This window comes from Homo sapiens, chromosome 10 (genome assembly GCF_000001405.40).
Source record: "Homo sapiens chromosome 10, GRCh38.p14 Primary Assembly".
NCBI classification, from domain to species: Eukaryota; Metazoa; Chordata; class Mammalia; order Primates; family Hominidae; genus Homo; species Homo sapiens.
Window position 1 is genome coordinate 102,613,306 of NC_000010.11, and position 23,493 is coordinate 102,636,798.

The window sequence follows — 23,493 nt, forward strand, 5'->3', positions numbered from 1 at the left end:
TTTAGGAAAGCAGAGGAAGGGACCGCTTTGTGAAGGAACAGTCAGATCCAGGAGTGAGTCCTCACAAGGAGAAGGCCAGCAGGCAGGCACGGCCCATGACCTCAGGGGCACGTCTAACCCACTGCCGCCACAGGGCCATCCTCTGTCTTTGGCCTGCGGACCCTACACCTTCCCCTGGGGAGGTGCCCTGCCTGTTGGGGTGCCACCCTGGCTGCAGGCCCCAGCACCTAGCCCCGCAACGTGTGAGGAGGTTGGGCCTGCCCCTCAGTGGCTGTCTGGCTGTCATCCTGGGTGGCTCCTGCCTGCCACTTGAATGATAAATAACTAGAGCTTCTCACCCAGTTTTTGATGGACACTTGGGGAATTGTTCTGAGATTCACAGCCCAAACCAGGATCCGGCCTTTTGAATGGGATCAGTGGGTAACTCTTATTTCTGGCTGAGGCAGATTTGAGAGGTTGTCAGTGGGGGCAGCTGAATTTGAAAGAGCAAATCTTAGAATGCAAAGGGACCCTGTGTCCCAGCCGTGGGCCGCACTTTTGGTGGGGAGCAGGCAGGAGGGAGTGTGGGGCAGCAGTGACAGCTCACCGTGCCAAGGCCACAGTCAGGAGGAATCTGGTACAGGCTCCTGGGGCCTTAAAGCCCAGCAGGGCGGGGGCCCGGTTCTGCTTTCCAGCCAAGCCCACTGGTCTGACTCGTAAGAGCCCAGCTTGTACTCAGCAGTACAGATTGTATCATCATCTGGTTAGATGAAGGGTGTGAATGTCCCTGCAGCTCCTGGCTGTTGGCGGAATGTGCATCCTCAGAGCCTTCAGGGTCAGCTGGACAGAAACTCTTGGAGCCGCATCTCATGGTGCTCAGAGCTAGGGCTCAGAGGCTCCAGGGCAGGAGAGGAAGGGCTCCCAGAAGCTCCTGCTGATCACAGGGAAAGACAAGCCACTGTGCCATAAACTTTAATATAGAATGTTGGGGCCAGGCACGGTGGCTCATGCCTATAATCCCAGCACTTTGGGAGGCCGAGGTAGGCAGATCACCTGAGGTCAGGAGTTTGAAACCAGCCTTGCCAACATGGTGAAACCCTGTCTCTACTAAAAATACAAAAAAATTAGCTGGACATGATGGCAGGTCCCTGTAATCCCAGCTACTTGGGAGGCTGAGGCAGGAGAATTGCTTGAACCTGGGAGGCGGAGGTTGCAGTGAGCCAAGATCGTGCCACTGCACTCCAGCCTGGGTGACACGGCGAGATGCTATCTCAAAAAAAAAAAACGAAACAAAAAAACAAAAACCAAAGGCTGGGTGCAGTGGCTCACGCCTATAATCCCAGCACTTTGGGAGGCCAGGACGGGCAGATCACCTGAGGTCAGGAGTTCGAGACCAGCCTGGCCAACATGGTGAAACCCCGTCTCTACTAAAAAGACAAAAATTAGCTGGGTGTAGTGGTGGATGCCTGTGATCCCAGCTACTCGGGAGGCTAAGGCGGGAGAATTGCTTGAACCCAGGAGGCGGAGGTTGCAGTGAGCTGAAATCGCACCACTGTGCTCCAGCCTGGGTAATAGAACGAGACACCATCTCAATTAAAAAAAAAAAAAAAATAGAATGTTGGCCAAAGATGCAGGCTTTATAGAATCAGACCTGCCCGAGACTGGATCTCAACTCTGCCCACTCCCTGGCTGTGCAACCTGTGCAAATTACTTAGCCTCCCTGTCCCCAGTTCCTCCTCTGTAAAAAGAGACAATGGTGGCAGCCACCTCTTGGGGGCATTGTGAGGAGTAGCCAGTCAGTGAGAAGTGCTTGGTGCAGTGGCTGGCGCTCGCCAGGCATATACAGAATGATGGCTGTCACCATCATTATCATCAGTCACCATTATTGTCTTTATTACTCAGGAGCCCAGCTGGAGACTCCCATCTTGCTCCTCCCTGAGCTTTTCACCTTGTGCCGAACCTTTTCCTGTGCTTGCTTCACAGGAGCCGCAAAGACAGCCTGGAAAGTGACAGCTCCACGGCCATCATTCCCCATGAGCTGATTCGCACGCGGCAGCTTGAGAGCGTACATCTGAAATTCAACCAGGAGTCCGGAGCCCTCATTCCTCTCTGCCTAAGGTGAGCGAGACAGCCCTGCCACACAGTTTACCCCACAGCACCCAGCTCAGCCTCCAGGGGGCACTTCAGAGCCTCCCCAGCCCCCTCCCCCAGCAGGCGTCCTCCAGGGCCTCCAAGGAGCCACCAGGCCCGTGCTTCCCGTCTCCCTGTCTCCCTGATGAGGGTGAGGTGCCTGTTGGCAGCCTACACACCTAAGCAGGCTGGGTCTCAGGGAGGGAGGAGAGCTACTCCACATGGGGCCTGTTTAGGAGCCTGGGGACTGTGAACCAGCCAGTCGCCCCCATGTCACTGGGCCATGCGGTGTTCTCCTTGCCCAACCCTCTGGCTGGCCTAGGTGGTGAGAAGTCTGCCATGCTTCCTAGAGCGGGGCTCTCTTATCTGCATCTCCTGTCTAGCCCAGAGCAGCAACAGTCCCCAATGCGCCCAGCACTGTGACCAGAGAGCCCCACTGGTCTCCTATTGCTTGTTTGACAGACCTTCCTCGTTCGCAAGTTCTGGAGTCAGAATCCACAGGGAGAAGTATTCCTCAGCCCTGCTCCCCTTAGGAAGGCTCTGTGACCCAGGGAGTCTCAGGTGCCCCCAGCCACCGACAAGCCCAGGGCAGGGATGGCAGGGTCCCCAGTAGCACTGGTTTGTCAGGGTGGGGTTGGGTGGGTTGGGCTCTATTTTCTCCTGCTTGCTGCTTTTCCCATGCAAAACACTCAGTTCTAAAACCTAGTGGCCAGCCCAGCAAACTCCTTGAGGGACCAGGAAGCCCAGCTGTGTCCCTTCTGCTTCTGTCCACAGTGCCAAAAGCCCAGCCCTATGGCCAGAACTCAGCTCTGTGCTCAGGGCTGCTGCACGGCTGCATCTGCTACAGCTGGCTACCCCACAGCCCAGGGGCTCCACCCACACTTTGAGCAGCAGAGTCACCAAGAGTAATTCTAAACTCACAGAACAGTGACAGGGAAGAAGAACTTGCACACTTGGGGACTCCCCACTGTCCCCAGCACCTGGGAGTGAGTTTGAAGGGTAACTAGCCTTGGCCAGCCACCCTGGGCAGCAGACAGAGAGCAAATGGCCAGAATGAACAGGACCTGGAGGGGCCCACTGCCATCCCACAGCCACATCCTCCCCAGCCACTTCTCTGGCCCAGGCCCAGGGCCTTTCAACTGGTGAAGGGTTAATTGGAGGCAGCCTGAGAAGGCAGAGGGCAGGTTCCACTTCCTTTGCTGATGAGTGGCTCTGCCCATTAGCTGCCCCTGCCTGCCCCTCCCCCAGGTGTATTTCCAGACTAGGGATTAACAGTAACTTCTGTGGCTCCCTGAGTGACCCCACTTGGCTTCAGCTTGCTTGCTTGCTTTTTTTTTAAAGATGTGCTGTGGCCTTTGGGCCAGCCACTTGAATGTTATGGGAAAGCCCAGGAGCAGGTGGAAGATTCTGCCCTGGACACTGAAGGGTCCCACTGCGGAGGCACTATCCCATCGTCCCAGGGAAACTTGTCTAGACGCTACTTCACCTCCGTCCCCTAAGGGGGGATGTGACCCCCCTCTTACCTCTGGGCATGACCTTCAGCACATTGCTACCTTCCCTCTCTGCCCTCAATTTTCCTAAGGGAGGTGAGCTCCAGGATCTCTGCAGGGCTTTTGAACTCAGTGTTTTCTGCTAGCTTTGAGCACTTTGGAAGGATGATGTTAGAGAACTTGTGAGAGGAGCTTCTCTTTGAAGGTGTTGAAATGAGCGTGTTTGGATACAGTCCCCTGTTGATGGGCAGGTGGGCAGCCAGGAGGGCATGTTACCTGGCCCGCGGACCATAGTCCCCACTGTCCCAGAGCCTTGGCCAGGCCTGCTGTGCTTGGAACTGTTTCCAAGCCCAGCTCCTCACTGTCTCCATGTTCCCATCTCCAGGGGCAGGCTCCTGCATGGACGGCACTTTACATATAAAAGTATCACAGGTGACATGGCCATCACGTTTGTCTCCACGGGAGTGGAAGGCGCCTTTGCCACTGAGGAGCATCCTTACGCGGCTCATGGACCCTGGTTACAAGTGAGAAGGCCCTTTTTCTTCTCCCTCCTTCCTTTCATAGACTTCCTTGCCCACCCCTCCTCTTCTCCCTTGGCAGCTCTTGATGGCACCCCTTCCTGGGGGGCTGGTCATGAATGCCTCATGGATTCAGGGCCTGGGGCCTGTGTGTAGGTATGGAGTGTGGATGCTGCTACCCACTCCAGCAGCTTAGGAGCACTTCCTGACCTTCTCCCCCTGTCACCTGAGACACAAGTGTTAACTCTCCAGGCCCTGGCTCTTGGTAATTCTGGTTCCCCGTGGAAATCCAGGTTGGAGGGATATAAGACTTTCTGCACCTTGGGTAAACCAAGGTACAAGAACTCAAGGATGAAGCAAGATGGGAGGATGTGTGGAGGCCACTCTCCAATGGCTACATGGAAATCCCACCAGAATTCAGACAGTGGCATGTGTGCCTGGACCAGGGCTGGGCAGGCCTCAGTGGGAAGAGCCTCCCCTTCTTAGCCTACCCCCATCTGACAGCCCTCCCGTTCCTCCTGAGTTTGTGTGACCAGAGACCTGCTGGCTTATCCGGAGCACTTTGTCCTTCCTTTGCTCTTCTGGCTGGAGCGAGCTTCAGAGCTGTTGCCAAGCAGGGTACCAGGGCCTCAGAGCCATAGGCCTCCTTCCAGTCCCCACCCCGTCCCGGGTCTCTAACAGGTGCTCAACCTACTCCACCACACTCCCGAGTGTCTTGGAGGGACAGCATCCTTTTTTGGCATTTGTTTGTTGCGGGTGGGGAGAGGATTGAACCCTTAACCTCACCTCGCTCGCAAGTATCAAGAAAGGGAACCTGACCCTAAACCTAAAGGTGGCCATACCTGGTTTGTGAATGTATTGGAGAGGCATGCAGCATTACAGTAGAGGGGAAGAGAATGATGCTAGGTTTGTGAGTTTCACCCAGTCTGGGGAGTCTGTGAAGCATATGTAGTCAATACAGACACACTTTTTGTCCCTGCATGTCTACAGAATTTCTCCTCCTTCAGGCCAGGCCCCTCTTCTCCCGCCACCACCAAAATACAACCCTTAATTAAAACAAACAGCAAACAAAGGACACCAACCACACTCCCCAGACTAAGCCGAGATAGAAATGGAAGCTAGTGCTTTAGGGATATTGTGTTCCATAAATTATCTTGCCTTTTTCCACTGTTGTTATTATATCGTTTCATAACAAAATTACTTTGAACCATAAAGTTATAAATACATTTTAAAAGTCCCACTTGGTAACATTAGATTTCTGTCCATGTGGTGTTGGTAGTTACTGTAACAAAAGCTCTGAAGTGTAATATTTGAAATTAGCCCAGCACAAGTGGAAAGGGCCTCCCTCCATTCCCTACCCCCAGCCATGTCCCGGGCTGCTGCGTCTGCCCCTGTGGAGAACAGGGAGGGAGCAGGCCTGTCTCCTGGGCGGAGCTGCTGAGGAGGCTGGAGGTAAGGACAAGCCCCTGAGAGTTCACAGGTCATCATTCCCAAGTGTCCTCAGGTAGCGTGTGTGTGTGTGTGTGTGTGTGTGTGTGTGTGTGTGTGTGTGTGTGTAATGTTCAAGCACGTTTTCCTGGGACAGTCGGGACTGGGGCCTCCCCAAACTGCAGAATCTACCCAGTTATGTTTGACATCCTCAGCTCTGAACCTATCCTCGGAGCTCTGCCCTCCCGTCCTGGAACGTCTTTCTGCCCTGAGGAGAGGGTAGTCAGCATCTCCAATTTTCAGCAGCTCAAGAACCTTGGCCCCCACAGGACTTCGCAGATGTCACATTGCCCCTCAGTCCCCTGAATGCCCTTCGGACCCAACCCCAATTCCCCAAGCCCCTGACCCCCTAGCTGCCGGGGTTCCCACTCCCAGTGCCACAACCCCCTCACCTCCCTGGCAGCCCCTCAGCGAGCCTGAGGCCCAGCACCCGCTGGCTCCCCAGCACATGGTCCCCTCCCATGGGCTGTTGCCCAGGGAACCGGGGCGCGGTGGGAACGAGCTGCTGGCCTCGGCATGTTTCAATAAAGTTGCTGTGCTGGGAGCTACTCAATCAAAGGCCTGTGTTATGGGCTCATTAGTGTGGTCCACCACGGGGCCGGCTCACAGGAGAGCTCCTGGGAAGGCTGGCGGAGGCCCCACACCCCAAGCACCCACCCTTGATCACCGAGGGGTTTCTCAGGCCCTTTCCAAGGAGCCCTGGGAAACCCTCTGACCCTGCCCCCAGCCGGATTCTCAGCAGTGGAGCCAACACCCACACCAGCCCTCCTCCCCCTGCCAGGCAGTCAGCACTTTCTCCCTCTGACTGCCAGCCAGCCGCCCCTGTTAGGGTCCTGCCACTGTGGTCACAGGCAGCTCCCTTGCTTGTGGGAACCTGGGCTTGTAATTACTTGTGGGCCTCTAGATCTCCCTCTGGGGCTGGCTGTCTCCCTGGGAGTCTGCAGGACCTCCTAGAGGCCTGGGGTTAGACTTGCAGTCGCCAGTGAGGGCCACTCCACTGGGCCAAGGAGAGCCATAGGTCCCTCAGGAGGGGACCCCAGCACAAAGAGGCCCACCCTTGCTCCCTGCAGGCATCTCTTGCTCGCACCCCCAGGGTTCCGAGGTGTCTTCTTGGGCCTTGTGTGCCCAGGCCTATTGGAGGCAGAGGAGTAGGAAGGAGTGAAATCCAATAGACCCAGGACATGACGAGACCCAGTCTTATGTTCTCTTAACTGCTGCCGGAACTCTCCCATTGGTCCCAGCTGAAATGGAGGGGCTGGGATGACTTTGTTACAGCAGCCTTGGAAGCCCTCACTCCCAGCCTTGGCACCTTGTTCTGGCCACCAGCCCAGCCCAGGCCTGTTATCTCTTGGGAGAAAGCGTGGCAGAGACATCCTGCAGGGGGAAGAGTGACAAGGAGAGGCCGAGAGGAAAAGGCAGAAGGTTTAGGAACCCGAGCCCCTTTCCGGAGCCTGTGGAATGGCCCCAGACAGGCCTCCACACCCACCTGCTCCACAGCCTTCCCCCATCAGTCCAGACCCAGGAGAGTCAGGGCCCCAGCATGTGGCAAAGCAGGGCTTGTCTGCAGCACCAGGTGGAGCACAGTGGACACTCCCTGCTTTATGGAGGATCTGGGGGTGCAGGAAGCCAGCTCCAGTTCCACAGGCTTTCACTTTCTGGAGAACAGCACCTTGACTCCGTCTGCCCTGCCATTTGCTGTTTTCATCCTTGCTGAGACTGTAAAGCTTATCAGCCAATTCCGGGGCTGTGCAGGAGGCTCTTCAGACCCTGGGAGGGGGCCTGCCAAGGTCTGCTCCTGCACCTCCTTCCCCCAGCATTCCTCATCCTGGTGGCTTTAACAAGCCTCTCTCCCTTGAGCCTGTCAACACTGGGCTGTTAGTCTTCTGAGCGGGAGCCCGGCCCAGAGCTGAGTTGTTCATCCGTCCCCAGCCAGGGTTGATCTGAAGGGGGATAAGTCTCAGCCCCAGCGGTCACATAGGGGTCACATCACCAAATATGAGAATATTGTTTTAGGCCCCGCAATGCTTTCTCAGCTGTGTGGTGTCTGACAGCTCACCCAGGTTGCGCCCCTAGTCCCAGCCATTCTCTGCCAGTCCTGATGGGAAGCCCCAGGCGTGGGAGAAGACGCCCAGCAGCTGTTCCAAGTGGGCTCTGCTGCTCCAGGCCAGGCTTGGGAAGGTGCTGCCGAGCTCTCCTCTGGGCAAGCCCTGCCTTCTGCTACCCATTTGGATATTGTGTAGAAGATGACTTGGGAATCCCCAGCCCATGCCCTGGGCACCTCCTCTTTGGTGCCTCTACTGTTCCTCCTTCCACGGGTGAACCCAGGCATACTTATTCTCCCTGGAGACCTTTGCTTGGACTGCCCCGAGACCTTGTTGTCCAGGGGGACACCCATTAAGGTTTAGAGCCCAGCAATGCGCCTGGGGAAGTACCCTCCCTTGTAGGAAAGGACTGTGATGCCGCCCTGTGTCCCTGGCAGCCCACAGCCAGAGCAGGAGTCTGAGCCCGCTTCTGGCCACCAGAGCCAACTTTTCACCGCCCACTAAGAACAGGAAATGAGCGAGACCTGTGCCCCAACTGCAGCCCGCTACCTGCCGCACCACACGCCTCTGTCCCTGACCTGGGTTGGGGGTGTTCTCCAGGCTGTTTTCTGGCTTTTGTCTGGCCTGTGGAGTGGGGGTGGGAGGGAAGGGATGCAGACAGGACTGCTTCCCCGTCCCTGCCTCCTCCACTGCCATCGTGGGTGCCAGAGCAGCTCCTTGGCAGGCTCTTCCACTGTAAACAACACATTTCCTTCCCTGAGAGGAGGAAAGGGAGGGAAAAGAAAGCCAAATTTGTTGGGAAGCAAGTACAACGTGTCAACATGAAGAACAAACAATGCCCTGGACAAAGTGTGGATTGTCATACCAAAGGGAAGGAGTGGGCATTGTCAGCCACTCTTTGCAGACTCAGAAATATCATTGACCACAGACATCTGAATCGGCGTCAGATCTGCAGCAGCTGGGCCCCTGCCTGCAGTGCAGCCTGGCTTGCCCAGGGCAGGCACTGACACAAGATCACTTTTCGGGTTCCTTTCTGGAACTTGCTGGGGCCTGGGGAATTGGGAGGTTGTTGACAGTCCTCCCTCACCACCACCCAGCCAAGCTGGTTAAGGCAGCTGGTGTGAGCCCACTGGAGTAGCTGCTGGCCTAGATTCCAAGCCCCCCTCCCTGGCCAAAGGTGGGAACTGGGGGTAACCAAGATCCATTGCCCCCCTCGCAGCTCAGCCCGTTTGATGGTGGTGAAGCTACAGCCACCAACTCACCCCTGTTGGTTAAGCCTGTGCCCAAACCCCCTTTCCCTGTGGGCCTGAGTATTTCCCCAGCAGCCCCTCACCATGATCTCCTGGGGCACCACTTAAGAATACAAGTGCTGGCCAGGTGCGGTGGCTCACGCCTGTAATCAGTCCCAGCACTTTGGGAGGCTGAGGTGGGTGGATCATCTGAGGTCGGGAGTTCGAGACCAGCCTGACCAATGTGGAGAAACCCCATCTCTACTAAAAATACAAAATTGCCAGGCACGGTGGCTCACACCTGTAATCCTAGCACTTTGGGAGGCCGAGGCGGGCGGATCATGAGGTCAGGAGATCGAGACCATCCTGGCTAACACAGTAAAACCCCGTCTCTACTAAAAATACAAAAAATTAGCCGGGCATGGCGGCGGGCGCCTGTAGTCCCAGCTTGTTTGTCTGCTGTTAAACAGCAGACAAAACTCCAGCCCCTGGCCGGGCCCAGTGGCTCACGCCTGTAATCCCAACACTTTGGGAGGCTGAGGCAGGAGAATGGCATGAACCCAGGAGGCGGAGCTTGCAGTGAGCCAAGATCATGCTACTGCACTCCAGCCTGGGTGACAGAGTGAGACTCCGTCTCAGAAGAAAAAAAAAAAAAAAAAATTAGCTGGGCATGGTGGCACATGCCTGTAATCCCAGCTACTTGAGAGACTGAGGCAGGAGAATCACTTGAACCCAGGAGGCAGAGGTTGCGGTGAGTTGAGATCGTGCCATTGCACTCCAGCCTGGAAAACAAGAGCAAAACTCCGTCTCAAAAAAAAAAAAAAAAAAAAAAAAAGCATGGGCCTTGGCCTTACCCCAGAGTATTCTGATTCAGGAAGTGTGAATGGGGCCTAGCATCGCCATATTTTCAGAAGCTTCCCAGGGGAGTGTGCTGCTCAGATTGGTTGAGGGTCTTCCTCTCTTACTAGAGGGTCTCCTCCCTCTGAGGGCTGTTTGTGTACAAACATAAGTGTTTTCTGCCTGGCTCTTGGTAAGTGCAAATATCAGTGAGTGCTGTTATCAATATTATTTCTACTGCTACTTTCTGGGCTAGAGAACTGTCAAGATATATGTATTCACTAGGCTGGCCTGGGAATTTGCCCCACCGTCCCCACTTGGGAACCATCTCTGGGCATTGGTTTGCCTTCCTTTTCATTGGCCAGTCTGGTTTTTTAGCAGTGTCTGTGACTCTCAGGCTTCTAGCCCTCTTAAGTTGAGCAGGTGGCCAGGAAATGTGTGGCTGGTGGAGGTTGGGACTGCTGATTTTCCAGGTCATTGGTAAAAACCAAAGCTACCTTCACCTCCCTCATCAGAAGACAGAGAAGTTATCCCCATCTATATAGGCTTCTACAGTTGGGGTGTCTTCCCCAGACAGGAAAAGAGCATCCTCTATCACCATGAGATCAGATAGCCGTTCCTCTAAAGTCCAGAGCCTTGAGCCAGGCGTGGTGGCTCTTGCCTGTGATCCCAGCACTTTGGGAGGCCAAGGCGGATGGATCATTTGAGGTCAGGAGTTCAAGACCAGCCTGGCCAACATGGCAAAACCCCATCTCTACTAAAAATACAAAAATTAGCCGGACATGGTGATGGTCACCTGTAATCCCAGCTACTCGGGAGGCTGAGGCAGGAGAATCGCTTGAACCCAGGAGGCGGAGGTTGCAATGAGCCAAGATTGTACCACTGCACTCCAGCCTGGGCGATAGGGCAAGAGATTCCATCTAAAAAATAAAAAGAAAAGTCCAGAGCCTTGTCTCCTCTGGGTACCTACCCTTGGGCAAAGTGGGGATGATAGTCACCTCCCTAGCAGAACTGCCATAAGGATTCAATGAAATGACACTGATCAAGCTCTTAGCACAGCGCCTAGCACATGGTGGAGGTACTGCTTCTGCTATTGGCCATTTTTACTGTCATTTTTATCATCACCATTCCCATTATTATTCGTGACAGAGCCAAGCAGCTCTGTAGGGACCCAGTGAGCCTCAGGAGTGCCAAGCCCCAGAACTGCACAGGCTTTTCCCACAGTTGCATCACAAGGGCAAGTCTGTTACTCGGGAGAGCTCCCAGGAGCTGCCCCATCTTAGCTGTCTATCTCCAGTGTCCTGTTGATAAGATCTGTTAACATTCTCAGCTCCAGGTCTGAAATATACAAAGAACAGGGCCTGTTTGTTCAATCCAACCTTCTAAGGTTTAACTCCCAAAGGAAATTAAATTAGGTGCCTGGAGCTATGACAGTCTGTCGTGTTTCTTTGCAGAGAATGTCACCTTTAATATCATGTAGATCTCATGTATAATTTTTCCCCTTTAATTCTTTTAAAATAACGTGAAGTTTCCAGCGGGAACCAGCAAATCACCAAAAGCAAAAATGGAGGAGCAGCTAGGGTTTGTCCTCATTTTTGATCTGGCCATCCCCTCCCCCAACCGAGTCCAAAATAAGTCCACACACAGATGGTGCCGCGCATGGTCGTTGCTCTACTAAAAGCCACCATAACTCACCCTCTCCTTAGCACCAGTTCCAGACCTTTGTCAGGGGAACCAGCTTAGAATTGAACTCAGTGTTGGTGGCATTACGTTTCCTTGAAGAATAACTCTGGCGTCTCACTGGGTGGCCACAGCCTCTGTGAACCCTTGCCCCTCTTCCTGTCCTCCCTCCACCCCATCTCACCCCCAGCACTTGTTATAGTCCCACATCTATTTACTGATCTGGCAGAAAGCCCCTCCCTCCAAGTTATTTGTGAGTTAGAAATTAGCCCAGCCCGGCCCAGACTGGAGCCATTGTAATATAATTGGGTTTTAGGTATGCTTGTGTTTGTGCTAGCATTTGCAGAGATGGCAACGAGCCCCGGAAATGCCAAAAATATGAATGTAACTTTTGTATTGCTTGAGCAGACTGGTGATAACTGGTGGGGAAACTGAACTTTTGGGGAGGACACCCCTGGGATAAGAGAGTAGGAGGAGCAAGGGCTTAGGCTGTGAGAGGGAGTACGTGTATGGCTGGAGTCTGTGGGCAGAGTCGGCCAGTCCCACTTTGGGGAATTAGGAAGAACTGTAGGGGTGCACCTCCCCGAACTTTGCCAACTTTGCCTCTCCTGCTCTGTCTCTAAGCCTTGTCTCTGTCCTTGGTCGGGGCCCTAGCTCCTAGAACAGAGAGTTTGGTGAGGAGACGTGGACCAGTGGTCAGAGTTATTTTGTTCCTGCTATGGGCTTGGAGCCTGGGAAGGCTGGGTCTCTTGTCTCCTTGCCAGCCAAAAGAGGGTGCTTGTCCTGGTGGGAAATGAGCTGCCTTCATGCCTGTGTCCCTGGAAGGATGAATGGATGAGTTAGTGTCCTGGGGGTGAGAGTTCAGCATTCGGGAGCAGTACTCCAGGCACTAAATTGAGAGTCCAGACATGATCAGGATATGGTCTTAACCACTCACAAGCCGTGTGACACTGAGCAAATTACATAACCTGCCTGTGCCTGTTTCCTCCACTGTAAGGAGACATGGAGATGAGCAGTTAGCATGCCCGGTATGATGGCGGCTTTTCTGCTCACTTGGGGGTAGTGTTCTTATTTCTCACTCCCTCCTCCACCCCGTCCACTTCTTGCTTTAGAGACCTCCGTCCTGTGAGCTCCCGAGCCGTCCTGTGTGCTCACCTTCCTGTGTGCACTCCTTCCTTGTTATCTCACAGCGTGGAAACTTTTGTTCTTGGCAGCTGACAATTCCCAGGGGAAACCTGGTGGGTATTTTTTCAAGTTCTCAATTCTCCTCCTCACAGGGAGGGTTTCCCCTCAGAGGAGCCCCTCACCTGGATCTTCACCCCATTATCTTTCTTCCTTTGTGCCCTACCTGGGTGCTCAAGGTGTACGGGAGAAGACAGGTAGAGCTGTGGCCTGGGGGTACAGAAGGGTCTGCAGTGGAGGGAGGCTGGGAGGCCCTGGGGACAAGGACAGGGAGGGGGAGGGGTGAAGGAAGGGGTCACAGTTGGAAGAGGAAAGACACCCTCACCCAGGGCGTGGTGGGGTGCAGACCTGGGATCAGCTTGGCCTGGCTCTGCCTAGCAGCCTGACGAGAGGGGTGGGTGGGGAAGAATGGCCCAGCAGATTGAGGAAGGCCGGTTTTAGAGGGCCTGAGAGCCCTTGGACGTTGGTATTGGCTGTGAAAACTTCTTTAGCGGATGAAGTTGGTGTTTGTGCCAGCCAAATAGTGGGGCCAGACTCAGCATCAAAGCGAGAGGCAATGAGGTGTCAGACTAGAACAGCAACGTGGAATGCTGGGAGGTGACCTAGAGAAGAGGAACCTCAAAGAAGGCTGGAGGAACTCAGTGGCTGATCGAGCACAGCAGGTCAGGGGCTTGGGAGCTTCCAGCCTGGGAGGATGTGGCTACTGTGAATGGGAATGGAAGTTGGGAGTCCCTTTGTCATCTGTAAAATGAGACGTTGGTCCACAATCTCCAGATTCTCCAGCTCAGACATTCTTGGATGTACCTTCCAGGGCACTTCCAGATTCCAGATAGGGCTTGTATTCCAAATCCAAACAGTTTCCTTTTGTCCTTCTACGGTGAGGGGCAGAGGGGGACACTAGAGCCTGACTGGGCAGCAGCTTTAATTTAATTTTTTTTCCTTTTAATTTTTCTTTTCTGTTCCTTTTTCTTCCTGAGATTCCTTTTTACCGGCCCCACCAGTGTTCATCTCCCTTCTGGGAGCAGCATTCCCAGCTCTCCCAGTGTCCTCCCTCCCCTCCCCATTGTCCCCTGACCCCTTTCCTTCTATGCCTCAGTCTGATATTGCAGGGAGGTGAGGGTGTGGGGGGAATGACAGCTGGGGACAGGCCTCAAACACTTCCCTGTGTCCCTTGAACAGATCACAGTGAGCTCATCTCTCCTCCATGGTCAGAAGAGAGGTATAACGCTTGGTGGTTGGCAAAAAGATCATACATTTAAAAATAATAATAAAAGCCTGCCTTGTGCCTTCACAGATTCTGTTGACCGAAGAGTTTGTAGAGAAAATGTTGGAGGATTTAGAAGATTTGACTTCTCCAGAGGAAGTAAGCTTGTTTGACTTTTCCTGACAACAGGTCCCGTCTCTGGGACCATGTGTGTGCGTGCGTGTGCACGTCTGTGCATGCATGTGTGCGTGTGTACCTGTGGTGCGTGTGTGCTTGCATGTATCTGTGTGGCTGCATCTGTGGGCTCCTCCCCAAGGTGCAGGGATAGGCTGGAGAGGAGACTGTAGATTTCTCTTCTGTTTCTATGCACCCTCACCATCCCCTGCCCTACCCCCAGCCCTTGTAAGGACACCCAGCAAATCGTCTGAATTGCCAGCTCCTGAGAGCCTCATTGAAGAGGAAGCCAGGGCCTTCAGGCTAGTACGAGTTCTCCCCAGCCCCTGCTGTTCCCTGGCAGATTCTGAACAGAACGCCCATGTCTGTTGCCAGAGAACATTCCGCTGGGGAGTTCTGGTGGGCAGCAAGGGACTCCTGCTCTCGCCTCGGGCCACCCAGGAGCCACTCTCCCTTCTTCGTCCTCCAGCCATGAGCTGTGCCTCTTAGTCTCCCTCTTCCAGCCCTGGCTCAGAGCTGGAGGAGCTGGCAGGCCAGCTGTGGCTGTGCCTTCTTTAGCTGCTCCTCTGGGGTAGAGGAATGGAGTCCATAATCCCCTTTGTTTTTTCTCCCTTGTTCCCGGCATCCTTATTTGCGAGGGCTTACCTCATCCTGGAAAATCCCTTCCCCTCCCCCGCTCCTGCCCGCAGCACCCCAGTGGGATGGGAGCTTTCCTGGCCCCAGTGCCCCATGGGTTAGTGAACTCTAGCAGGCTGGCCGGGCCTCTGGAGAGCTCTCCTGGGCCCTGCCCTGCCTGTGGCAGAGGCAGACCCTTCCCTTGTCCTGTCTGCCAGGAAATGTGCTTGGGGGAGAACTCCTTCGCCTCCCAGGGGCCAGGCTTTCTACCAAGAGGGAGGCCAGGCGGGAGCTAGGTTCCAGCCAGGGCTGGAGCTTCCAGCTTCCAGGGCTCCCTGGGCTGCAACAGCCAGGACACAGGCCTCTGGTGTTTAGGAAGCTGAGGGGAGTGCACAGGGCGGGACCGTCCAGTCCAGGTCTCCAGTTGGACAGGAACTCCCCAGAGCCAGGGTCACCTCAATAGAGCAGGGTCTCCTCTGTCCTCTGGGATGCAGCTTGAGAAATTTGTTCATTTATATATTCCAAAGCCATCAAGCACCCAGTCCATGCCAGCCAATCAACCCCCACAAGTCACTGGTCCCTGAGTCCCAGCTCCCCATTCAGTCAGACCAGAGCCAGCTGCCCAGAAGCGCTTCCGGAGAGGCCTTGTCGCACTGGGATGGCGCTGTGCCAGGCTGCTGCTTTGAGCTTGGGGGTAGGAGGGGGACAGTCCAGGCAAGAGGGACAGAAGCCTGGGGGAGCAGAGGAAAGTAGGTCACTAAAAATGACTTTTTTCTTTTTTTCCTTTTCTGTCCAGAGGCTGTCCCTACACCCTGCCTCACTCGCCACTTTGGTCCTGGCAGAGACAGTCCCCCAGCAGAGGGAGCGAAGAGGGAGGCAGCCAGGAAGGGTCAGGCTCGTCTGCCTCCAGCCCCAGACCGAGGCAGGCTGAGAACACTGTTCTCTCCTTTCCACCCTGCCCTGACTTCCGGCCTAGCCAAATTAGAAAAGACAGACCCTGGGCCGGGCGCAGTGACTCATGTCTGTAATCCCAGCACTTTGGGAGGCCGAGGCAGGTGGATCACCTGAGGTCGGGAATTTGAGACCAGCCTGACCAACATGGAGAAAACCCATCTCTACTAATAATACAATAATTAGCCGGGCTTGGTGGTGCATGCCTGTAATCTCAGCTACTCGGGAGGCTGAGGCACGAGAATCGCTTGAACCCGGGAAGCAAAAGTTGCAGTGAGCCGAGATCGCGCCATTGCACTCCAGCCTGGGCAACAAGAGCGAAACTCCGTCTCAAAAGAAAAAGAAAAGACAGACCCTGTGTCTAAGTTCCGGTATCAGTCCCAGGCAGTGAGCATTTATTGAGCTCCATCTGTGTGCCAGACTGCATGCAAAGTTCTACAGTAAAGAGGGAATAAGAGGCATCAGCCTCTTCCCCTTCCCCTACCAGAAACTCCCAGGTGAATGGGAGAAACAGAACTGTAGGCAAATCAGTGTATCCTGGGATGGGGTGGGAGACATTTGGCTCTCCTTGGCCACCACTGGGACCACTCTGAGGCTGGTAACCCTGGGAAGTGGTGCGAATGAATACAGGGAGCAGGGTGGGGATTGGCCCCTCTCAGGCCCAAGGGATCACCTCAAACCACACTTGTCCCACTCTTCTGCTCCCACCAAGGCCGCAAGTGTGGTTCTGACTTTGGGGCCGAACTGGGGCCTCCTTCCCTTTGGAGCCTTTGGCCAAGTATACAGAGGACAGGTTCCAGGGTTCTTCCTGCACTAGCCTCTGAAAGAGAGGCCATGGCAGTGACAGAGCTCAGGCCACTTCCCCATAGCCTCCAGACCCTCCCCCAGCCCCCATCCTCCAGCCCCAGGGCCTCAGGGAGCAGATTCTTTACATGCCTGTGGCCAGAGGCAGAACCAAGGAAGTGAGCAAGAGGGAGGTCAGCTTAGTGGAGAAAGGAGGAGAAAACGCCCTCCTCCAACCTGCCTCATTATTGACAGGCCGTGGGGAAAGAAGGGGTCACCAACTCCAGCCGTTTGAGCCCAGCCTGCCACCTGGGTCTAGCATTTGAGAATGAAGCCACGCCTCCCGCGGCCTGTCCTATCCCTAGCTCCCCGGGGACAGGCCTGGGCAATCTCTGGAAAGACCACGGTGTATTCTGCTAACCACTCACACTCCTGGTCTGTGCTTGCTCCCTCCACAGTTCAAACTTCCCAAAGAGTACAGCTGGCCTGAAAAGAAGCTGAAGGTCTCCATCCTGCCTGACGTGGTGTTCGACAGTCCGCTACACTAGCCTGGGCTGGGCCCTGCAGTGGCCAGCAGGGAGCCCAGCTGCTCCCCAGTGACTTCCAGTGTAACAGTTGTGTCAACGAGATCTCCACAAATAAAAGGACAAGTGTGAGGAAGACTGCGCAGTGCCACCCCGCAGCCCAGTGGGGTGCCATGCACAGGCCACAGGCCCTCCACCTCACCTCCAGCTCAGGGGCCGCACCCCGCCGCTGGCTAAGCCTTGTGACCCATCAGGCCAGTGAGTGGGCAAATGCGGACCCTCCCTGCCTGCAGCCTGCACAGATTCTGGTTTGAGGTTTGACTCTGGACCCTGGCTGTGCCCCTAGGTGGAGACAGCCCTCTTTCTCACCTACCCCCTGCCGCACAGCCCAGCAGGAGGGAGGCGGACAGCCAGATGCAGAGCGAGTGGATGCACTTCCCAGCTCATCTCTGGAAGCCTTTGCTACTCAAGCTCCTCTGGCCGCGGAACAATTCCTCTGATCATGTTTGGTTTTCTTCTTCCTTATTTTATTTTGTAGAAACCGGGTGGTATTTTATTGCTCTGCAAAGATGTCCAGAAGCCATGTATATAATGTTTTTTAAACAGAACTTCATTCCCCGTTGAACTTTCGCATTCTCTGACAGAGGCCTAGGGCTGTATCTCTCCCTGGGCTGCCACCAGAGAAGGTGCTTGGTGTTCGCCTGCCAGCCCAGAGCCCTGGAGGAGCCGGCTGCACAGAGAGGCTTTTCTTCCCAGCTGGGCCTGGTGGAGCCCGGGGCAGGGGGAGAGTAGAGACACTCCCTTGTGCAGCTTTGAGCCTAGTTTAGCTGGGGCCAGGGAGGGGTGCTACTGTTTTCCAAGTGAATGGGTCTCAAAGACTTGGTGACCCCAGCCTCATCTTCTAGGCCTTTTCCACCCAACCAGGCCTACCTGGGAGAGGGTGAGGTTCAGCACATCACACACCATCCCCACTGTCATTCAGGGCCTGGGTCTCCAGCTCTGTAACCAGTCCTGTCCCATTTCCTCAGTCCCTGGGCCTCCCAGCCTTCAGGCTGTAGGGCTGCCTTACTAAAATTGAAAAATCCACCTCTTAACATCTCTTTCACTTTGGTTTTGCTAACACTGCTCTCTGCTGCCCTCCCATCCTCCCTGTATCCATTCATGCCCTATCTTTCATTCTCCACTCCTAATCCCTCTCCTTTCTGGCATCCTGGCCTCTCGTGGTCCTCAGCCCCTCACCCCCAGTACTGCAGATCTCACAGTTTGCCTTCCAGAAGCCAGCCTATCTCTAGCCCATGGTTTTGGAGTTCCTCTCGGGTTATCTCCCACGCCTGACCTGGAACCAGCAAGCCCCTTTCCTGCCTTCTTACCCCCAACTCTAGGGATGGGACTGTTACAATACTTCAAGATCACTCTTTACACCTCTTCAAAGCAAAGTCATGACAATGCAGGGCTCCTCATTGCTCCCATCTGCCTCTGCTGCACACACAGGCACCAGCAGGGATGCCACAGGAGTGCCCACAGGGTGCAGGACTCCACTGATGAGAGATCCAGCCAAAGAGCTGCCCCCAGGGGTATGAGGGCACCAGCTGGGTTCTCCAGGGAGCAGGAGTTGGACCTCCATGGAGCCACTAGGCCTGGCCTCCTCTACACATCCCCAGGGCTATCTGGTTAATTCCATCAAGCTCAGAGTTAAAAGGCATATCAGCCTGGAGTATTTGGGAGAGACTGGCTGCAGATCCCCGCCAGCCAAGATGCAAGCCACTCGGGACCTGATGTCGGCAGCTGTGCCTCTACTGCCCTGAGGACTTACCAGAGGGAGCCCTACTGGCCTTCCCCCACCACAGCAGCCCTGCCTGTGAAGCTCTTGTTTCTGACATTTCACAGGCAGAGAGGTGCCATCAGTTCGCCTCCATTCCTTGCCACCATGACCAGCCTCTCCCTGAACTCTCTCTTGCTCGGGACCTGCCTGAGGGCTCCCTGCTGCAGTTCGCCGTACTTCCATCTGCTGGGTGCCTCCATCGTTGGTTGGGTGGGGATGGGGCATTTTCTGAGCTAAGCTTTGTCATTAGTTTGTGAAGCACCTGGTCAGCAACCTGCCCCAGACCTGGAGGGTCTTTGTGGACTGAAGGTAGACACCAGCCAGCATGGTGGCCCTGTTCTGGGGGAGCAGGGTAAGGCAGGAGGAAGTGGGTGAGCTCCGAGATGATGAGCACATGAAGCCTGTGGCCCCTTCGTACCTGCAATATGTCAGGAGCCTCACGCTCACCCAAGATCCTGCAGGGGCCAGGCTCCATCTCACTGGCTCTGAGGGCAGGACAGGGTATCACACATTTCTCACCAGGCCTCCTTTCCTATGGGCATTGGTGCCTCCCAGAGGTTTCTTGGGCTGCTGGCTGGTGAGAGAGGACCCTTAAAGAAGATCAAGCCAAGCTGACCTTGGACCCTGTCCAGCACAGCTTCTGGCACAGGATGCTTGGTGAATGTACCCTTTCTTTCCCTCCCTGCAGCTCTGAGGGAGCCCCTGACCTTGTAGTGGGTGGAGGAGGTAAGGGGCCTCCCTCCCTAAATCTGCCTCTTCTGCAAGCTACTTGGAGACTTGCCTAGTTGTACCCACCCCTCCAGGTCCCTGGTGCTAGAGCTTCTGAGAAGGGCCTTTCCCTTTCCTCTTTGCCTGCTATATAAGGCAGGCTCCTGTGGCTCTGCTGGCTCAGTGTGGGCTGCAGGAGGACTGCAGACTCAGCTGCAATTCTGAGGGGGGTTTGGGAGGCTTGTGCGAGGTCTCAGGCCTGTGTGGGGAGCTGGTGCCTCTTCCTGCCCGTATCTTTCTCTTCCAAGGGCAGTGCTCCAAGGCAGGGACTGGAGAAGCCAAGGGGAGAGTCTAAAAGGGCTAGAGCATTTTTAAAAATAGACACAGGGTCTTGGGACTGGGGTTTCGGATTGAGTTGCAAGCAGGGAGAAAACCTGAAGGTCGGTGCCCCTATGGGGCTGACCAGTAGAGAATTTCCTTTACTGTATTTTTGTGTCTGGTCTTCCCTTTCTGGCTTCTAGGACATCCATGCCAGGTGAGGTGCCTGGGTCCCTGTTACAAGTCAGGAGCCCTGTAGGGAGACCCCTCCTTTTGTACAAGTACCTGAATGCTGCGACAAGCAGATTTTTGTAAAATTTTATATTAGTTTTTAATGTCAGTGGCGACTCGGTTCCTGGGGCTGCAGCCAGCCTGGGACTTTTGTAAGAATTTTTGGGTGACTCACTTAGATGTCGTTTCCTTCTTGCCCCCTCTTCCTCTCTGTAATCTAAGTGCATTAAACATCTTTGCAGAAGTGCCTGGGTTGTGTGCTCATTTCTGGCTGCCTGAAGTAGTGGAGCCGGAAGCCCGGGGCCCTGGCAGAGGGAGTGGGTTGTTGTTAGCCACTTAGAAGCCAGGATGGAGGGAGGCCCCCAGGATTGTTGTCGAGAGTGGAGGAGGTGCCAGAGAGTGGGATCACACAGCTGGTGGCTCTTCAGTCTTGAAGAAATGACCTTGCAAGGACAGGCTCTCCCTCACTGGTCCTGAATTCCTCTAAGGTCAAGGGGGTGGGAGCGAGGAGCAGTCTGGGGAGATGAGGCGGTGGGAAAAGACCCTCTCCCTGCCACTACATCCCTCTTCTATCCTCCTCTCACCAAAAACCCCTTTTGCCTTAGGAAGAGGGGCCCAGACAGGTGAGGAGGGCAGGCCCTCCTCATCTCCTTTGGAGTCCTTGCCCGGCTTCCAGCTCCTCTCACATGACATCTAAATTCCACCTCCTAATCCAGGGCCCAGGGGCAGGATCCAGATAGAAGGGCAATTCAGAACCGGTGGCACCCACTGGGTGACACAGAGGCCAGCCCACCCGCCCTAGCAACTCCACTGGGCCTGGCAGTGGAGGGAGGTATCAGGTATATCTTCCTTTCCTGGACTGCCCAGCTCCTGCCTCTCCAGGGCTGGGGGGCAGCAAAACAGCCCAACGCCCAGTGTGGGGAGGCACTGAGCTGGGGGAGAAGGCACTAGCCTGGCAGGCAGGATAAGGGCTGCGCCCAGACAGAGTTCTTGGAACCTGTGACCACCTGGGCCCTCACATATTCATTCCCTTCTGGTTTTCTATCCTGGATAGTGGCAGGGGATTTGGCTGGGGCTGGGGGCTGGGGCGGAGGTCCTAGGACATCATAAGCAAGGGAGAGGGGGTGTCAGCTCCTATGAGGGGGTTCTTATGTCCTGTCCCTTCTGTGAGACCTAGCCATGTGGGGGGCCTTTGCTGAGAGGTCCGCACTCCTTCCCCTGCAGCCTCTTACTGAACTCTCCAACGGAGCAGTGCAGCAGGTCCTGTCTGGGGCCCTCATGCCCTTTCCCTTTTCTCCCCGGAGACTGGGGGCTGGGGGAGGTATCCTCATCTGACTTTAGCCTACAAGGACACAGTATCAGGGTGAAGTTCTTGCCCCAGAGAATGCAGAATAGCAAGATCCTCTGCTTAGGTGGTTCTGCAAGATACCAGGCTGACGCTGTTTCTGGAAAGAGAAGGACTCCTGGGCCTAGGGCAGAGACCCTAGCCCTAGAATTAGGGAGGAGAGAGATCTGCCATGCCATCTGTAATATCTCCTACAGAAAGTCATGTGCCTTCCTCCCAGGTGTCTGCTTTGCCTCATCTGGGGGCCTTGGGGAGGGAGTCCCACAGGTTTCAGGGGGGCTGGGGAGCCTGAGAGGTTTGCCAAACTGGCCTGACCAGAAGAAGAATGCAAACTACAAGTGACTCAACCCAGCCTGCCAGGCACGGAGGCAGCAGCAGGGTGCAAGGGGGTAGGTGGTGGGGAGGCCGGGGTGGGGTGATCTGCTGCGCAGGAGAAGGGGGAAGCCTGCAGGGGCAGGTCTGGATGTGGTCTGAGAGGGGCAGCCATCTCCAGGCCCCTTCCAGGGGACATGGTGGGACTGACCCGTTCCCTCCTTTCCTCCTTATTGCCAACAAGTCTGGGAGGTGAGGACACCATGAGGGAAGAAGCAGCTGACTGCTGGTGGGTGTCCATGGCTTGAATGAGCTTAACTCTCCAAGTAACTCGTAGGACGAGGGAAACTTTGAGGGGGTTATGATGAGAGTAGTGGTCTTACTGGGGCCAGAGAACTGGTCTTACTGGGGCAGAGACCCTCTTCCTTGTTTTTCCAATTTCACCCACACCCACCCCACACCCATTTCAGTACCACGAGAGCACTGCAAGGACGGAGAATGGAGTTTTGAGTCTTAACCTTTACAAGACAGATGAAGGCCAACCATGCATTGTCCAGCCTCTACAATAACACTGTGGGAATGAACTAGAAAACATTCCGTTGTTCTTTCAACAAGTGTGTGCCAGGCACTCTGTAATATACTGGGACGCTGGACTCAGGCCCTGCCTTAAGAGGCTCAGAGTGTGGTGAGGGGAAATAGACGAGGAAACAGATACTTATGAGGAAGAACCATCAAAGAGGAAGGCAGTAAGCTGCTTCCTGTCCTACCCCAGCTCCACCACTTATCAGGGTGACTTCAGACAGGTGCCTAACCCCATCTGCGGAGATTCAAAAAAACTCCCTGAAGAAGTGACATCTAAGCTAAAACCTAAAGGATGCTTAAGGATGAGTTGAGCAAAACAAGAGGAAACTTTACTTTCATAAGCTCTCCAGGCAGTCAAAAAAACAAGGGTAGAAGCCTTAAAACTGCTTGGGAACTAGAGTGCAAATTGCCTGGAGTATATGGTTTAAGGCATCAAACTTTCATTTTAGGATCATCTCCTTGTCTGCTGGATGGAGAATGTTTTGAAAGGGAGTAAGAGTGAAGGCAAGGTGACCAGTGATGCTTGGATTAGGGTAGAAGCAGTAGGGATGGAGAGAATGGGATTCATTTATTGATTCGACAAATATTTATTGGGGATCTACAATGTGCTAGGTCCCATTCTAGGCACCAGGGATACAGCATTAAAGAAAATACCTCCTTTGACAGATCTTACTTTTTTTTTTTTTGAGACAGGGTCTCACTCTGTCGCCCAGGCTGGAGTGTGGTAGCGCGATCTCAGCTCACTGCAACCTCCCAGGCTGGAGTGCACTGGCGCGATCTCAGTTCACTGTAACCTCTGTCTCCCGGGTTCAAGAGATTCTCCTGCCTCAGCTTCCCGAACAGCTGGGACTACAGGCACGTGCCACCACGCCCAGCTCATTTTTTATTTTTAGTAGAGACAGGGTTTCACCATGTTGGCCAGGCTGGTCTCGAACTCTTGACCTCAGGTGATCCACCTGCCTCGGCCTCCCAAAGCGCTGGGATTACAGGCATAAGCCACCGCGCCCGGCCTCACAGATCTTATATTTTAATGATGGGTGACAGATAATAATTTCTTTTTCTTTTTTTTGAGACAGAGATTTGCTCTTATTGCCCAGGCTGGAGTGCAGTGGCGCAATCTCGGCTTACTGCAACCTCCGCCTCCCAGGTTCAAGCAATTCTGCCACCTCAGCCTCCCGAGTAGCTGGGATTACAGGCGCCTGCCACCACGCCCAGCTAATTTTTGTACTTTTAGTAGAGATGGGGTTTCACTACGTTGGCCAAGCTGGTCTTGAACTCCTGACCTCAGGTGATCCACCTGCCTTGGACTCCCAAAGTGGTGGGATTACAGGCGTGAGCCACCATGCCTG

At 54.7% G+C, this 23,493-nt stretch overlaps 1 protein-coding gene across 12 annotated transcripts in view, besides 4 other annotated features; it reads left to right on the plus strand.

The window, feature by feature from the left end:
* Positions 1–20,230, plus strand: part of SUFU (SUFU negative regulator of hedgehog signaling) — a 130,717-nt gene extending 110,487 nt beyond the window's left edge. For 6 of the 12 annotated variants that reach the window (XM_047425335.1, XM_011539863.4, XM_047425336.1 and 3 more), the window contains 5 exons: positions 1,963–2,097; positions 3,985–4,123; positions 12,506–12,631; positions 13,870–13,938; positions 16,761–20,230. In XM_047425335.1, coding sequence (XP_047281291.1) covers positions 1,963–2,097; positions 3,985–4,123; positions 12,506–12,631; positions 13,870–13,938; positions 16,761–16,850 — 559 coding nt within the window. In that variant the 3' untranslated portion in view covers positions 16,851–20,230. Of the gene's footprint in view, positions 1–1,962; positions 2,098–3,984; positions 4,124–5,760; positions 6,164–12,505; positions 12,632–13,869; positions 13,939–16,760 lie in introns of those variants that run through there. The other 6 variants (XM_047425337.1, XM_047425338.1, XM_011539861.4 and 3 more) reach the window with 2 other exon arrangements.
* Positions 15,154–15,696: an enhancer, noted in NCBI's record as "H3K27ac-H3K4me1 hESC enhancer chr10:104388216-104388758 (GRCh37/hg19 assembly coordinates)". NCBI's record gives its function as "activates a minimal SCP1, AML or CMV promoter by ChIP-STARR-seq in primed H9 embryonic stem cells {active_cell/tissue: H9 hESC(primed)}" and the evidence as "EXISTENCE:reporter gene assay evidence [ECO:0000049][PMID:30033119]".
* Positions 16,307–16,601: an enhancer, noted in NCBI's record as "tiled region #14384; K562 Activating non-DNase unmatched - State 10:DNaseD". NCBI's record gives its function as "activates a minimal TATA promoter and a strong SV40 promoter by Sharpr-MPRA in K562 cells {active_cell/tissue: K562}" and the evidence as "EXISTENCE:reporter gene assay evidence [ECO:0000049][PMID:27701403]".
* Positions 18,255–19,002: an enhancer, noted in NCBI's record as "H3K27ac-H3K4me1 hESC enhancer chr10:104391317-104392064 (GRCh37/hg19 assembly coordinates)". NCBI's record gives its function as "activates a minimal SCP1, AML or CMV promoter by ChIP-STARR-seq in naive and primed H9 embryonic stem cells {active_cell/tissue: H9 hESC(naive and primed)}" and the evidence as "EXISTENCE:reporter gene assay evidence [ECO:0000049][PMID:30033119]".
* Positions 19,003–19,748: an enhancer, noted in NCBI's record as "H3K27ac-H3K4me1 hESC enhancer chr10:104392065-104392810 (GRCh37/hg19 assembly coordinates)". NCBI's record gives its function as "activates a minimal SCP1, AML or CMV promoter by ChIP-STARR-seq in naive H9 embryonic stem cells {active_cell/tissue: H9 hESC(naive)}" and the evidence as "EXISTENCE:reporter gene assay evidence [ECO:0000049][PMID:30033119]".